The sequence below is a fragment of the Homo sapiens genome, chromosome Y, assembly GCF_000001405.40.
Source record: "Homo sapiens chromosome Y, GRCh38.p14 Primary Assembly".
Classification (NCBI taxonomy): domain Eukaryota; kingdom Metazoa; phylum Chordata; class Mammalia; order Primates; family Hominidae; genus Homo; species Homo sapiens.
Genome location: NC_000024.10, coordinates 20,488,683 through 20,506,970, shown reverse-complemented (window position 1 = coordinate 20,506,970; position 18,288 = coordinate 20,488,683). Strand labels below are relative to the sequence as shown.

Genomic DNA, 18,288 nt, shown 5'->3' with positions numbered 1-18,288 from the left:
GATAGTTTACTGAGAATGATGATTTCCAATTTCATCCATGTCCCTACAAAGGACATGAACTCATCATTTTTTATGGCTGCATAGTATTCCATGGTGTATATGTGCCACATTTTCTTAATTCAGTCTATCATTGTTGGACATTTGGGTTGGTTCCAAGTCTTTGCTATTGTGAATAATGCCGCAATAAACATACGTGTGCATGTGTCTTTATAGCAGCATGATTTATATCCTTTGGGTATATACCCAGTAATAGGATGGCTGGGTCAAATAGTATTTCTACTTCTAGATCCCTGAGAAATCGCCACACTGACTTCCACAATGGTTGAACCAGTTTACAGTCCCACTAACAGTGTAAAAGTGTTCCTATTTCTCCACATCCTCTCCAGCACCTGTTGTTTCCTGACTTTTTGATGATTGCCATTCTAACTGGTGTGAAATGGTATCTCATTGTGGCTTTGATTTGCATTTCTCTGATGGCCAGTGATGGTGAGCATTTTTTCATGTGTTTTTTGACTGCATAAATGTCTTCTTTTGAGAAGTGTCTGTTCATGTCCTTTGACCACTTTTTGATGGGGTTGTTTGTTTTTTTCTTGTAAATTTGTTTGAGTTCATTGTAGATTCTAGATATTAGCCCTTTGTGAGATGAGTAGGTTGCGAAAATTTTCTCCCATTTTGTAGGTTGCCTTTTCACTCTGATTGTAGTTTCTTTTGCTGTGCAGAAGCTCTTTAGTTTACTTAGATCCCATTTTTCAATTTTGGCTTTTGTTGCCATTGCTTTTTGTGTTTTAGGCATGAAGTCCTTGCCCATGCCTATGTCCTGAATGGTAATGCCTAGGTTTTCTTCTAGGGTTTTTATGATTTTAGGTCTAACATTTAAGTCTTTAATCCATCTTGAACTGATTTTTGTAAAAGGTGTAAGGAAGGGATCCAGTTTCAGCTTTCTACATATGGCTAGCCAGTTTTCCCAGCACCAATTATTAAATAGGGAATCCTTTCCCCATTGCTTGTTTTTCTCAGGTTTGTCAAAGATCAGATAGTCGTAGATATGTGGCATTATTTCTGAGGGCTCTATTCTGTTCCATTGATCTACATCTCTGTTTTGGTACCAGTACCATGCTGTTTTGGTTACTGTAGCCTTGTAGTATAGTTTGAAGTCAGGTAGTGTGATGCCTCCAGCTTTGTTCTTTTGGCTCAGGATTGACTTGGCAATGCGGGCTCTTTTTTGGTTCCATATGAACTTTAAAGTAGTTTTTTTCCAGTTCTGTGAAGAAAGTCATTAGTAGCTTGATGGGGATGGCATTGAATCTGTAAATTACTTTGGGCAGTATGGCCATTTTGACGATATTGATTCTTCTTACCCATGAGCATGGAATGTTCTTCCATTTGTTTGTATCCTTTTTTATTTCCTTGAGCAGTGGTTTGTAGTTCTCCTTGAGGTCCTTCACATCCCTTGTAAGTTGGATTCCTAGGTATTTTATTCTCTTTGAAGCAATTGTGAATGGGAGTTCACTCATGATTTGGCTGTTTGTCTGTTGTTGGTGTATAAGAATGCTTGTAATTTTTGTACATTGATTTTGTATCCTGAGACTTTGCTGAAGTTGCTTATCAGCTTAAGGAGATTTTGGGCTGAGACAATGGGGTTTTCTACATATACAATCATGTCGTCTGCAAACAGGGACAATTTGACTTCCTCTTTTCCTAATTGAATACCCTTTATTTCCTTCTCCTGCCTAATTGCCCTGGCCAGAACTTCCAACACTATGTTGAATAGGAGTGGTGAGAGAGGGCATCCCTGTCTTGTGCCAGTTTTCAAAGGGAATGTTTCCAGTTTTTGCCCATTCAGTATGATATTGGCTGTGGGTTTGTCATAGATAGCTCTTATTATTTTGAGATACATCCCATCAATACCTAATTTATTGAGAGTTTTTAGCATGAAGAGTTGTTGAATTTTGTCAAAGGCCTTCACCACACCTATTCCAAAATTGACCACATAGTTGGAAGTAAAGCTCTCCTCAGCAAATGTAAAAGAACACAAATTATAACAAACTATCTCTCAGACCACAGTGCAATCAAACTAGAACTCAGGATTAAGAATCTCACTCAAAACCACTCAACTACATGGAAACTGAACAACCTGCTCCTGAATGACTACTGGGTACATAATGAAATGAAGGCAGAAATAAAAATGTTCTTTGAACCGATGAGAACAAAGACACAACATACCAGAATCTCTGGGACACATTCAAATCAGTGTGTAGAGGGAAATTTATAGCACTAAATGCCCACAAGAGAAAGCAGGAAAGATCCAAAATTGACACCCTAACATCACAATTAAAAGAACTAGAAAAGCAAGAGCAAACACATTCAAAAGCTAGCAGAAGGCAAGAAATAACTAAAATCAGAGCAGAACTGAAGGAAATAGAGACACAAAAAACCCCTCAAAAAATTAACGAATCCAGGAGCTGGTTTGTTGCAAGGATCAACAAAATTGATAGACTGCTAGCAAGACTAATAAAGAAGAAAAGAGAGAAGAATCAAATAGATGCAATAAAAAATGATAAAGGGGATATCACCACCGATCCCACAGAGAAACAAACTACCATCAGAGAATACTACAAACACCTCTATGCAAATAAACTAGAAAATCTAGAAGAAATGGATAAATTCCTCGACACATACACTCTCCCAGGACTAAACCAGGAAGAAGTTGAATCTCTAAATAGACCAATAACAGGAGCGGAATTGTGGCAATAATCAATTACTTACCAACCAAAAAGAGTCCAGGACCAGATGGATTCACAGCCGAATTCTACCAGAGGTACAAGGAGGAACTGGTACCATTCCTTCTGAAACTATTCCAATCAATAGAAAAACAGGGAATCCTCCCTAACTCATTTTGTGAGGCCAGCATCATCCTGATACCAAAGCTGGGCAGAGACACAGCCAAAAAAGCGTATTTTAGACCAATATCCTTGATGAACATTGATGCAAAAATCCTCAATAAAATACTTGCAAACCGAATCCAGCAGCACATCAAAAAGCTTATCCACCATGATCAAGTGGGCTTCATCCCTGGGATGCAAGGCTGGTTCAATATATGCAAATCAATAAATGTAATCCAGCATTTAAACAGAACCAAAGATAAAAACCACATGATTATCTCAATAGATATCCTAATTTTGATGCCAGAAGAAGGTTTAGATATCTTAGTCTTTGATGACATAACATTGTATGTCAATTCTAGCATGGCTCAGTAAAAGAATGAGGCAATATGAAAGGCCCAGGGACCTGTCTGTACATAAGAGTAGTTCTCCCAACTATCATAGATAGCCACACCTTTCAGCACAAATGCTGAAAACCCCACTGTTTGCAAGTCATGAAGAAAATATTTGTCTTAGTGCCAGCCCCCAAAGTCCATGACCTTGGAGACGAACAGATCTCCCCAGGATACAGATAGAACTCCAGTCTACTAGTTCTCCTGGTAACTGGACTGTAAAATTCAGTTTTTATTGTGCACCAAGTTTAGCCAGGAGACCTACTTAGAACTCACAAAACTGTAATCCCAAAGGCAATATCTTCAGCACAAAAGCCTAATAGAGAAAAACTTCAAACCTAAACCAGTCTGTAAGACTCAATGCAAACATATAATCAGATAAAGAATATTAATAAAACTAATAAAGAATATTAATACATCTTTTAAAAAATTACAAAAATGAATTTCCTGAAACAGAATTAAACATGATTATTATAAAACACTCCTTAGATGTAAAAGAAATCCCAAAAATGCAGGAACAAATAAAAATATTGGAAAACTATGCATATACAAAATTTAAAGTTCAATCAATAAATAAAAATTTGGAGAGAAAAGAAACAAAATGGTGGAAATAGAAAGCTCCACTGATTACAGCCCTCCCCCTCACCCCAAGAACATCAAGTTACCAATTATCTACACATAAAAGAAAAACAAACAAAAAACTACACACCTTCGTAAGAACCAAAAAATCAGGTGATCACTTACAGTAACTGATTTTAACTTCATATCACTGAAAGAGGCACTGAAGATTTGAAACAAAAACAAAAAACAAACAAGCAAGAACAACAAAACCATCCCTGAATCACCAAAGCCACCTCTCCCTAATCCCTGGTAGCAACTGTGTAGGCAGAAAGTATCTGTGGGCACTGATGTAGAAACAACACAGTAATTGCAAGGCAGTGAACTTAGTGCTGTCCTATTAAAGGAGAGAAGAAAATCAGAACAAAGTCAGCTGATGCCCACCCACAGAAGGAGCATTGAAACCATCCCTAGCTACAAGAGAATCTCCAGTCCTAGTGGTCTGAACTTGACTGCCCACAAACCTCTCCATAGAGGGCCAAAATGCTCTTGGTATCTAAGTAAACTTGAATAGTATTCTAAGCCACTGCATCTCTTAAGTAAGTCCTGTTGCTGAAGTAGGCCCAGAAACAGTGGAGTTGACTGGAACAAGAGGCACCAGCTAAGGCAGAAAAGAGAGTCCTGGCATCACCTCTGTGCTAACCCCAAGCTTTTTAGCTCATGGCTCCAAAAAAGGCTCCTATCCTTCACTTAAGGGGAGAGCATGAAAGGATACAAAAGACTTTGTTTTGCACTTAGCACACCAGTTCAGCCACAGCAGGTTAAGGTACCGTACAGAGTTTTGAGCCTGCCATTTTTGGTCTTACCTCCCAGATGGCATTTCTTGACACACTCTGGGCCGGAAGGGAACCTGATGCCTTGAAGGAAAGGACTCAGTCCAGTCAACATTTATTGCCTGCTCACTGAAGAAACCTTGGGCTCTGAATGAACAGCAGTGATACCCAGGTACTACATTAAGGGCCTTGAGTGATGCTCTGAGACTTGCTAGCTTCAGGAGAAATGTAGCACATAACCAACTGTAGACTGTAGTGGCAATGGGGCAAAACAACTTCTACTCTAGAAAAGTGGAGAGAAACTTAAAGGGGACTTTGACGTCTTGCATTTTAGATACCAACACTGCCACAGGTGCTAAGCACAAAGTGAGCTCTTAGAGTACCTGATTCCAAGACTTGACTCTTGGATGGCATTTCTGGACCTTCCCTGACCCAGAAAGAGGCCCACTGCCCTGAAGGGTGAATCCTGTGCCAGGCAGCATTCACCAAAAGCTAACCTAAAAGACCTCAAGCCTGAAGAAAACATCTGTGGTAGTCTGGCAGTAGTCCTTTTGGCAGGGTAGTAGTGGTAACTAAGGGATAAGAAATTTCTGCCTTTGGAAAGTAGAGGGAAGAGTGGAAACAACTGCAACTTGTGGTTTGGGTGGCAGCCTCAATACCGTAGAGTACCAACTAGACTTCTAAGGTTTTTGAATCCAGCCCTGACTCCACGATGGCACTTCTGACACACATGGGATCTGGGGAACCTCTGCCCTAAATGGAAGAACAAAGGCCTGCCTTTGCTACCTGCTAATTGTGGAGCCCCAAGCCCTTGAATTAACATAGGCAGTAACCAGGGAGTGGTTATAGCAGGCCTTGGGTGAGACCCAGCACTGTGCTGGCTTCAGTTCTGACCCAGCATAATCACAGTGATGGTGGCCACAGGGGTACTTGTGTCACTCCATGACTAGCTTTAGATGACTCAGAACATAGGGAGAGACTCTGTATGTTTGGGAGAAACTAAGTAAAGAGAAAAAAATTGTCTGTCTGGTAATCCAGATAAGTCTCCCAGATTCTGTCCAAGACTGTTAAGGCAGTACGTCTAACAACTCCAGAAGAGCCACAGAGTTTGGGGGCTTGTGGTACTTCCTAAAGCAAACACAGTGTAGATCACAACATCCAAGTCTTTTCCAATATCTGGAAAGGCATCTCAGAAAAGAAGACTATAAATAAGCCCATATAGTAAAGATGGCAATAGATACCTAGCTCTTCAATACCCAGGCACCTTAGAATATCTAGTAGCATCAGTACCATTCAGGAAAATGTGGCCCAACTAAATGAACTCAATAAGGTACTGGGGATCAATCCTGGAGGAACAGAAGTACATGACATTTCAGACAGAGAATTTGAAGACCAGTGTTGAAACGCAAAGAAATTTGATATAACACGGAGAATAAATTCAGAATTCCATGAGAATAATGGGGTATTAAAATAATTAAGCAGAAATTCCAGAGCTAAAAGATAAAATTGGCATACAGAAGAATACATCAGAGATGTATTAATATAATGGATGAAACAGAAGAAAGACTTAGTGAGCTTGAAGATAGGCAAACAGAAAATATACAGTCAGAGAAAAAAAAGAAAATAATAAAGCATGCCTACAGCATCTAGAAAGTAGCCTCTGGAGTTATTGGCCTTAAAGAGGAGGTAGAGAAAAAGATAGGGGTAGAAAGTTTATACAAAGGAATAGTAACAGAAAACTATTGCAAACCTACAGGAAGAAATCAACATTCAAATACAAGAAGGTTATAGACACCAAGACGACTTAACCCAAATAAGACTACTTCAGGGAATTTAATAATCAAACTCCTAAAGGTCAAGGATAAAGGATCTTAAAAGCAGCAAGAGAGAAAAAAAAAAAAACAAAAAAAAACCTACAATGGTGCTCCAACATGTCTGGCAGCAGACTTGTTAGTGGAAACTTTGCAGAACAAGAAAGAATGTCATGACATATTTGAAGTGCTGAAAGAAAAAAAAGGACAAATGAATCCATTTTTATCCTAGAATAGTATAGCTGGTGAAAATATCTTTCACATATAAAGAAGATGTAAAGACTTTTTCAGCAAACAAAAGCTATGGGATTTCATGAATACCAGATGCATTCTACAAGCAAACCTAAAGGGAGTACTTCAGTCAGAAAGAAAAAAGTGTTAAGGAACAATCAACAATCACCTGAAGGTACAAAACTTATGGATAAAAATAAGTATGGAGGAAAACACAGGATATAATAACACTCTAACTACAGTGTGTAAACTACTGTTATCCTAAGTGGAAAAACTAAGCAATAAAAAAAAAGTAATAATCACAACATTTTAGGACACAGTAGAGTAAAATATAAATAGAAGTAACAAGTAAGAAAAGTTGGGTGGAAGCTGAAGTTAATCTGAGTTTTTATTAGTTTTCTTTTTGCTTGTTAGTTTATGCAAATAGTGATATCAGGTTGAAATAATGGGCTATAAGATAGCATTTGCAAGTCTCATGGTAACCTCAAACAAAAAAATATTTTAAAAATGCAAAAAATGAAAAGCAGAAAATTAAATCATATCACCAGAGACTCTTATCTTCGCTAGAGAAAGACAGCAATAAAAGAAAAAAGGAGAAAAAGACCACACACACACACACACACACACACACACACACACACACACACACACACACATACAAAAACCCAGAAAACAAACCACAAAATGGCAGGGTATAAGTTCATAATAATCAATAATATCATTGAACGTAAGTGGACTCAACTATCCAATTAAAATAGACTGGCTGAATGTATGAAAAAATAAGACACTCGCCAGTTGCCTATAAGAAATACACTTTGCCTATAAAAATACACATAGCCTGAAAATAAAGTGATGTGAAAATATATTTCATGTCATTGGAAACAAGAAAGGTCCAAGAATCACTTACTTTTACCAGACAAAATAAATTTCAAGACCAGACTATATGAGACAAAGAAGCTCACTATGTAATAATAAAGGAGTAAGTTCAGCAAGAAGATACAACAATTTTAAAGATATATGAACCCAACACTGGAGCAAAGAGATATATAATACATACATTACAGCCACAGAGAGAAATAGGGTCCAATACAATAATAGCTGGAGACCTCAGCCCCCCACTGTTAAGATTAGATAGATTTTCCAGACAGAAAATCAACAACACAAAAAAGTCATAATTAATCTCCACTATAGACCAAATAAATTTAATAGTTATTTAGAGATAATTTTATCTAAGAGCTTCAGAATATATATCCTTTTACTCAGCACATGGATCATTCTCAAGGATAGACTATACCTTAGGTAGCAAATCATGTCTCAAAACATTTTAAAAAATTGAAATTATATGAAGCATCTTCTCATCAATGGAATAAAACTAGAAATTAATAACAAGTAATTTTTTGAAACTATACAAATAACTGAAAATTAAATAATATGCTTCTAAATGACAGGTGGGTCAATGAAGAGATTCAGAAGAAGATTGAAAACTTTTTTGAAACAAATGATAATGAAAACACAATCTACCAAACCCTGTGAGATTCAGCAAAAGCAGTACTCAGAGGAAAGTTTATTACTATGAGCACCTACATCAAAAAACAAAAACACTTCAAATAATCTGATGATACATCTTGAAATACTAGGAAAGCATAGCAAATCTAAGCCAAAATTAGAAGAAGAAATAAAGTGATAAAGATTAGAACACAAATAAATAAATAAAAATGAAAATAGAAAGCAATGAAAAAGATAAATACAAAGTTTTTAGTTTAAGATTGAAAAACCTTTAGTCAGACTAAGGAAAAAAGAGTTCAAAGTAAATAGCACCAGCTATATATAAAAGAATGAATTACAACTGATACTATAGAAATTCAAAGCATTATTAGTGAGTAGTATAAGCAAGTATATATTAATAAATTCAAAAATCTGGAAGAAACTGACAAATTGCTAGATACATTCAAAGTTAACAATATTGACTTAGTAAGAAATTTTAAATCTAAATGGACTAATAATAAATGGTGCGATTGAAGCCATAATAAAAAAAAAATATTCCAGTAAAAAAAGCTCGGGTCCTGGTAGCTTCACTGCTAAATTTCACTGAACATTTAATGAAGAACTAATACCAATTCTGTTCACACTATTCTGAAAAATAGAGAAGAAGGAAATACTTTCAAACTAATTCCTCAACACCAGTATTATGCTAACACAGAAACAGACAATGACACATCAAAAATAAAAAACCATGGGGCAATACCTCTAATAAATATTGATGCAAAAATTCTCAACAAAACACTAGGAAACCAAATACAACAATATATTAGAAAAATCATTTGTCAAGACCAAGTGGTATTTATTCCAGTGATACAAGGACAGCTCAATGTACACAAATCAATCAACATGATACATCATATTAACAGAGTAAAGAGTAAAAAGCGTATGATCATTTCAATTGATACTAAAGAAGCATTTTATAAAATAAACATATTCATGATAAAAATCCTCAAAGACATTAGAGATTGAAGGAACATACCTCAACATAAAAGCCATATATGACAGATCCACAGCTTGTATTATACTAAGATCCGGGACATAACAAGAGTTCCCACTGTTACCACTGTTATTCAACTTAGTACTGTCAGTTTTAGCCAGAGCAACAAGACAAGAGAAAAATATAAAGGGTACTCAGATTTTAAAGAAGTCAAGTTATTTTTATTTTCTGATAATGTGATTTTATATGTAGTAAAACCTAAACACTTGACAAGTAAACTATGAGAAATGGTAAACAAATTCAGTAAAGTTGTCAGATACAAAATCAACATGCAAAATCAGTAGCATTTCTATATGCCAACAATGAACAATGTGAAAAGAAATAAAAAGTAATCCCATTTACAATAGCCACACATAAAATTAAATACCTAGGAATTAACTTTCCCAGAGTTATAAAGTATCTCTATAATAAAAGGTACAAAACATTGATAAAAAAAATTGAAAAGGACACAAAAAAATGGAAAAATATTTCATGTTCATGGTTTGGAAGAATTAATATTGTTAAAATCTTCATACTACCCAAAGCAATCCAAACAGTTAATGCAATCCCTATAGAAATACCAACAACATTCTTCACAGAAGTAGAATCTTAAAAATCCAAAAATTTAGTTGGAACTACAAAGACCCAGAATAACCAAAGCCATCCTAAGCAGAAAGAACAAAACTGGAGGAACAGCATTACCTAACTTTAAATTATGCTACAGAATTATACTAGCTAAAACACCATTGCACTGGTATAAACATGGACACATAGACCAATGGAACAAAATAGAGACTTGAGAAGCAAATCTTCATACCTACAGAATACTAATTTTCAACAAAGGTGCCAAGAACATACACTAGGGAAAATACAGTCTCTTAAATAAATAGTGCCAAGAAACTGGATATGCACATGCAAAGGAATAAAACCAGTCCCACATCTCTTGCCGTAAGAAAAAATCAAAATAAAATGGATTAAAGCCTTAAATGTAAGATCTAAACCTATGAAACTAGCATAAGAACACATTGGGGAACTTCTCTAGGACATAGGTCTGGGCAAACATCTCTTGAGCTATACCCTGCAAGCTCAAGCAATTATGAGGGAAAAAAAATGGACAAATGGGGTCACAAGTTAAAAAGCTTCTTTATAGCAAAGGATACAATCGACAAAGTGAAGAGATAACCCACAAAATTGGAGAAAATATTTTTAAACTACCTATCCAACAAAAAAAATTAATAACCAGGAAATATAAAGAGCTCAAACAATTCTATCAATTCTATACACAAAAAAATTTGATCAAAAGATTGGCACAATATTTAAATAAACTTTATTTTTCTCTTTTTTCTTTTCTTTTTTTTTTAATGACAGAATCTTTTTTTGTCCACCAGGCTGGAATGCAGTGGGGCAATCTCAGCTCACTACAACCTCTGCTTCCGGGGTTCAAGTGATTCTCTTTCCTCAGCCTCTTGAGTAGCTGAGACATTCAAACACCTGCCATAATGCCCAGCTAATTTTTATTTTTAGTAGAAATGAGGTTTCACCATTTTGGCTGGGCTGCTCTTGAATTCCTGACCTCATGTGGTCAGCCCACCTTAGCTTCCCAAAATGCTGTGATTACAGGCATGAGCTACTGTGCCTGTCCTAAATAGGTATTACTTAAAAGCAGATATATAGAGAGCATACATGCATAGAAAAAGGTGCTGAGCATCACTGATAATCAGACAAATTCAAATCAAAATGACAATAAGGTATCACCCCATTTAAAATGCCTTATATCCAAAGATACGCAGTAACAGATGCTAGTAAGGATGTGGAGAAAAGGAAACCCTTGTACACTGTTGGTCAAAATGTAAATTAATACAACCACTGTACAGATCAGTTTGGAGTTTCTTTTAAAAACTAAAAATTGACCTACCATATGATCCAGTTAACAGATGAGATGTACAGAGAATTTAGGTACAGGTTTTCCAATTAGGATGTTGAATAAGGTAATTTCTGGGTCAAATGAGGGTCCAAGTGGAAGCATATCTCACTTATGTTGTCCCACATGCCTACAAAAATAATAGTTTCAAAGGCCTTGAGTTGAGAACTTGTTTGGGCATGTTTAATTAAGACTTTGCTTTTATCAGCAGCAACTACTGTGCAATAATTTGCAAGATTACACACCTAAAAAATTGAATGACTAAAGTGTAGTAATTATGGTTACTTAAGAATACTTGGATGTTGGCCAGGTGGGGTGGCTCACACCTGTAATCCCAGCACTTTGGGAAGCCAAGGTGGCTGAATCACGAGGTCAGGAGATCAAGACCATCCTGGCTAACACAGTGAAACCCCATCTCTACTAAAAAATACAAAAAATTAGCCAGGTGTGGTCGTGGGTGCCTGTAGTCCCAGCTACTGGGGAGGCTGAGGCAGGAGAATGGTGTGAACCTGGGAGGCGGAACTTGCAGTGAGCCAAGATAGTGTCACTGCACTCCAGCCTGGGTGACAGAGCAAGCCTCTGTCTCCAAAAAAAACGTGAATGTATGGAAATTTCTTTCTCAATCCAGTGGGGTTTTAGCTAACAGCTCTTAGTCCACCATCAAAAATAAACAATTTGGACACCAGTATACTGAAGCAATCTTTAGCCCATTTATATATTTATGTGTAAGATCTGGAAGTAATGGAGGAAATACAGCATGTTATTCAGAACTAGGTGGAAGAAACACAGGCAAGATTGAGCAAACTGGGACAGAGGAACTCAGAAAAGGTGTAATGGTTTGGATTAAGTTACTTAAGCAGAGATGACATTTTATTACATACATAATATTGAGAGGAGGCAGTGGAAGCGAAGTAAGGGCATACATGCAATGTGTTAAAATTTTGGGACAGGAGAAAATATTATTTGGGGAGAACTATGTAAAGTCAAGAAAAACATCTATTTTGAATGGAAGATAGTTATCATCATATAAGAAAACTGCAACAAAAACAGTGTCAAGTTATTAAGAAGAAGGGTGAGCAGAATATTCCAAAACAAAATGAATAGAAAACTTTTAATTTTCCTGAACAACTGTGTTTACTAGAACACAAAATAAGAGACCCAAAGAAATCTTCAGTCAGGACAGTGGCAATTAGCCATTAATAATTATAATGGATAGAGGAAAGACTTCCAGTTTTACACCATTAAGGATAATATGAACTGTCGTTCTGTTATATATAGTTTTTATTATGTGGAAGTATGTTCCTTCAATCCTCAGTTCTTCTTAGAATTTTTATCTGAAGATATGTTGAATTTTATCAAATGCTTTTATGGCATCAATTGAAATGAACAAATAATTTTTGCTCTTCATTCTGTTGATATGATGTATTACATTGATTGATTTGCATATGCTGAACTATCCTTGAATCCCAGAAATGAGTTCCAATTCGTCATGATGAATTACCCTTTTAATGTATTATTACATTTGGTTTGCTAGTATTTTATTGAAGATTTTTGCATATTTATCAGATATATTGGTGTGTAAGATTTTTTGTGGGGTTATGTGTCTTTGCTTTTAGTGCCAGGGTACAACTAACCTTATAGAATTAGTTTGAAAGTGTATCCACCTGTGTTTTCTGGAATAGTTTGAGTAGAACTGGGATCAGTACTTTTAATATGTTTGGTAAAATTAAGCTGCAAAGCCATTGGGTCCTGGGCTTTTCTTTACTTGAAGAATTTTTATTACAGCTTCAATCCTGTCACTTGTTATTGGTCTGATAATGTTTTGAATTTTTTCATGGCTCAATCCTGGTAAGTAATATATGTTTAATAATTTGTCTGTTTCTTTAAGATTTTCTTAATTTTTGGCATATATTTGCTCATAGTAGCCTCTAGTGATCCTTTGAATTTCTGCAGTAATCTATAATGTTTCCTTTTTCATCACTGATTTTATTTATTTATGTTTTCACTTTTTTTCTTAGCTGGTCTAGCTAATGGTTTGTCAATTGCATTAAACTTTACAAAAAAATGTTGTTTCATTGGTCTTTATTTTTTCAATATTATTTATTTGTGCTCCATGATATTATTTCTTTTACTAATTTTATTGACCCACTTGTCATTCAGCAGCACATTGATGAATGTCCAAGTATTTGTATAATTTCCAAAATTTATCTTGTTATTACATTGTAATCCAATCTTACTATATTCAGAAGATGCTTGACATGATTTCATTTATTGCATGTTTTAAAACTGTTTATCCAACAAACACTTTATGCTTGAGAATGCTCCATATGCTTAGAAAAAAACATGTATTCAGCAGCCACTGGATGAAATGTTCTGTAAATATCTATTAGATTCATTCTGTATCTAGTGAAGATTAAATTCAATGTTTGTTGGTTTTCTGTCTGAAAGATCTGTCCAATGCTGAAAGTGCGATGTTAAAGTCTCCAGGTATTATTGTATCAGGGCTTATCTCTTTCTTTATCTCTAATAATATTTGCTTTGTGTATCTGGGTGCTCCAGTGTTTGCACATATATAATTAAAATTGCCACGTCATTTTTCTGAATTGACAACTTTATTATTATATAGAATCCTTCTTTATCTCTTTTGATAGTTTTTGTCTAAAAATCTATTTTCGCTGATATTGTTTTTTGTTATTGTTGTTTTCTCTGAATGTATTTTCAAATAATGTGTTTTCAAGCTCACTAATTCTTTCTTCTTCTTAATCAATCCTGCTATTAAGAGACTCTGAGGTATCCTCCCACATTTCGACTGTATTTTACAGATCCAGAATTTCTGCTTGACTCTTTTTTATTCCATTCTCTTATATTTATTCTATTCTGTTAAATTTATCTGATAGAATTATGATTTTATATGTGTGTTTTCCTCAATATCTTTGTTTCCTCAAAACCGCAATTTTGAATTCTCTGTTTGAACCCTCACATAGCTCTGTTTCTTCAGAATTGGTCACTGGTGCTTTGTTTAGTTCATTTAATGAGGTCATGTTTTCCTGAATGTTGTTAATATTTATAAAGATTTGTTGGTGTTTGGGCATGGAAGAGTTCAGTATCTATAATAGCCTTCTTCCTCTGAGTCTATTTGTACCCCTCTTTCTTTGAGGAGGCTTTTCAGATATTTTAAAGGAATTGGCTGTTATGATCTGAACTGTATCTGCTTTAGGGGGCTCCCCAAACCCAGTAACACGGTGGTTTTGCAGACTCATAGAGGTGCCGCCTTGATGGTCTTGCACAAGTTCTGGAAGAATTCTCTGGATTACCAGGCAGATACACTTGTTATCTTTCTTACGTTCTCCCAAATGAACAGTCTCTCTTTGTTCTAAGCCACCCAGAGCTTCTGGTGGTGTAAAAGAAGCACCCCTGTGGCCTCCACTACCAGGACTGCTCTGCATCAGACGTCAGACCAGCACAATACTGTGTCTCACCCAAGGGCTGCTGTAACCACACTCTGACTATGGCCTATGGTTGCTCAAGTCCCTTGGGGTCTACAGTAAGCAGGTTGAAAAGCCAGCCAGACCTAGTTGCAAGACAAGTCCTTCCTATTAGGGTAGCTAGTTCCTCAGTCCCCAGCCATGTCCAGAGGGACATTCCAGAAGTTAGAGACTAGTCAAAAACCTTAGATGTCTACTTAGTGTTCTACAGCACTATGGCTTAGCTGAAACTCAAACTATTAGACACAGTCCTTCCTAGTATTCTCTCCCATTTGCAAAGACAGAGGAGTCTCACCTTGTAGCTATCATGACCAAACACCCATGGAGAGTATTGCCAGCCTACCATCAATTTACCCTTCAGGCACAAGGGCTTCTTAATCAATTCTTAGTGAATGCTTCCTGGCCTGAGACTTAACCTTCTGGGCTGTGGGCATCCCTCTGGCCCAAGGAAGGTCTAGAAATTCCATTCAATAGACAAGTCTTAGAATGAGAGACCCAAGAGCCTACTTGGTGCTCTAATCTCCTGTGGTTAAGCTGATATCTGATATATACAACAAAGTCCCTTTTGCTTTTCCCTCTGCTTTTCTTAACTGGAAGGGGTTTCAGCCAGTAGCCATGACAGCTGGGAATGTGCTGAGTTTCCCAGTTTCACCCAACACCTTCAGTGTAGTACCTGGATCTTGCTGATGGTTAATCAAGGTCCAAGGGCTCTTCAGGTAGCAGGTGATGAATGCTGCCAGGAATGGGTTCTTCCCTTGAAAGCAACAGGTTTCCTTCCAGCCCAGGATGTGTTCAGGAGCTGGGGTCTGGAATGGGGGCCTCATGACTGACCCATATCCTATCCTGCTGTGGCTGAGCTGGTATCCAACATAGAAGACAATCCTCCCCACTCTTCCCCTCGCCTCTCCATAAGTGGAGTGAAGGGGTCTTTTTTAAAGCGATGAGCTGTGCAGCCTAGGGTTAGTGGAGGGGTGATGCCAGCACATCCTTGACTGTCCCAGCTGGTGTCTCAGCAGGTTGCATGTTCCCTCCAGTCCACTGTCTCTGGGACCAAGCCAGCACTTGGGCTCACCAAAGACTTGCAGTCCTTGTGGCCTAAACTGTTCTCCAGGTTTGTTCAGCCAATTGAAACACCAACAACAATAACAAAAGCATTTGGAAAATAATTAAAGTAAGAGTGTTGTGGGGAGGTTACTGTCAATTGTATGAAAAGACAAATTATGAAATACCCAAGACAGAAGAGAAAGACAAAAAAGCAGAAAATGCATTGAAATATACTGTTCAAACCATCTAAAATGCTAAGAGAAATATTAACTCAGAAATTCATGAAACTCAAAAAAAACAAGATAAAAAATCTTATACTCCAAGGAGCATTATAATGAAATTGTAAACAGTAAAAGATAAAAATAAATGTAAAACAGCTATAGGAGAAACTTGCTACATATCACTTATCTTCTATTAGGTTATCACCTCACTTTATAAAAGAAATCACCAAGTAAGGAGAAAATGAAATGACATATTGAAGGTGCTAAAGAAATAAGGAATTGCTAGCTCAGAATACTCTAACCTGAAAAGCTCTTTGTTTGATATTTAAAAAGCACATTTAAAGAGAAAAAAAGTTGTGCATGTTCATCTCCTTGTGAATATCTTTACAATAATTTCCTAACCAGTTTTACTGTTTGAAACAAATCAATGATAAAAAAACATGAAATTATAATATTTTTTGGAAAAAATATAATATAGGAAAACCTACAGTAAATAATTATTATCTAATTTAAATACTAGTAACTCTGGGATGAGAATTTAAAAAGTTTCAATAAGATACACCTGTAAAGAATTGCTCAATGGATTCTGAATATAAATTGATATATAGTAGAACATTAATACTATAAAATGTGTGAGGGGATGTAAAAACCATGTTAATCTTCAAATAAAATAATATCTTCTTAAATTAGAATATTACAAGACATTTTAGGTAATATTCCTTGTTATCACAAAAAATTCTGCATTACATATACAAAAGCAACAAAAAAAATAGATACGGTATACAACTGGAATTAGACAACAGCAAAAACAAAATCAAGGAAGTAAAATTGGAATAAAGCAAAACAAGAACTGCAAAAGTCAGGCAAAATTTAAAAATAAAATTGCTGTAGCAAGTTGTTAACAATAAATAATTAAGTGTACCTGGATTTTATTTTTTGAACCAAAAGACCTAATGTAATAGAAGTGGTAAAAAATAAAAATAAGTAAAATAAAAAAGGAAAAAAACCCAATAATTTGATGCCAAGATAATAGCTATCTTTAGATTTCAGTACACCAAAATATGAGGGTGAAAGGATTAAAAATATTCAAAGTAAATGGTAATCAAAAGACAGCAGATGTACCTATATGAAAGTAGATGCTTATCAGTGTTGACACTACTTTTGCACCTGGATAGATTGAGTCTTATAGAAACACAGTTACAGAAGATTAAATAGGCTATTTGATTACCATAGGTAAGCTATTCACCTGGCTTAATTTTTGATCTCTCTAATTTGCTTGGCTTGGTTCATACAATCTTTAGCATATAAGCATTGTTATATTATAATCATCCTAGCAGCCGTAGAAGGGATTGTCTGGTGTGTTGTGCTTTCTTAAAATTTTTATTTTTTATTTTTTGGAGAATTTATATATATATACTTTAAGTTCTGGGATACATGTGCAGAATGAGCAGGTTTGCTACATAGATAAACGTGCTATGGTGGTTTGCTACACCCATCAACGCATCATCTACATTAGGTAGATGATGGTATTTCTCCTAATGCTATCTTACCCCTAGTCCCCTACCCCCGCAACAGGCCCCCATGTATAATGTTCCCCTCCCTGTGTCCATGTGTTCTCATCGTTCAATTCCCACTTCTGAGTGAGAATGTGCAGTGTTTGGTTTTCTGTTCCTGTGTTAGTTAGCTGAGAATGATGGTTTCCAGCTTCATCCATGTCTCTGAAAAGAACATGAACTCATCCTTTTTTATGGCTGCATAGTATTCCATGGTGTATATGTGCCACATTTCCTTTATCCAGTCTATCTTTGATGGGCATTTGGGTTGGTTCCAAGTCTTTGCTATTGTGAACAATGCCTCAATAAACATACATGTTCATGTGTCTTTATAGTAGAATGATTTATATTCCTTTGGGTATATACCCATTAATGGGATTGCTCTGTCAAATGGTTTTTCTGATTCTAAATCCTGGAGAAATCACCACACTGTCTTCCATAATGGTTGAATTAATTTACATTCCCGCCAACGTGTAAAAGCGTTCTTGTTTCTCCACATCCTCTCCAGCATCTGTTTTTTCCTGACTTTAATGATAGCCATTTAACTGGCATGAGGTGGTATCTCATTGTGGTTTTGATTTGCCTTTCTCTAATGACCAGTAATGATGAGCTTTTGTCCTATGTTTTTTGGCTGCATAAATGTCTTCTTTTGAAGAGTGAGACACAAATAATTTTCAAGAGAAAAAAAATGAATCTGGAAGTTAATTATCTAACAGATTGACTTTTAAGAAAGGCTTAAGACGTTCACTTAAAAATCTATTTGTGCCTTTTTTCATATCCGAGGAAGAGCTTTGCAGTCTAGACTACTCTTAGGTAGCAGTATTTTAAATTTTATCTTA

General features: G+C 36.0%; 1 long non-coding RNA gene across 13 annotated transcripts in view; it reads left to right on the top strand.

The window, feature by feature from the left end:
* The window catches only part of TTTY10 (testis expressed transcript, Y-linked 10), a 110,070-nt gene that overhangs the window by 68,545 nt on the left and 23,237 nt on the right, over positions 1–18,288 (top strand). The gene's annotated exons all lie outside the window — the stretch shown is intronic.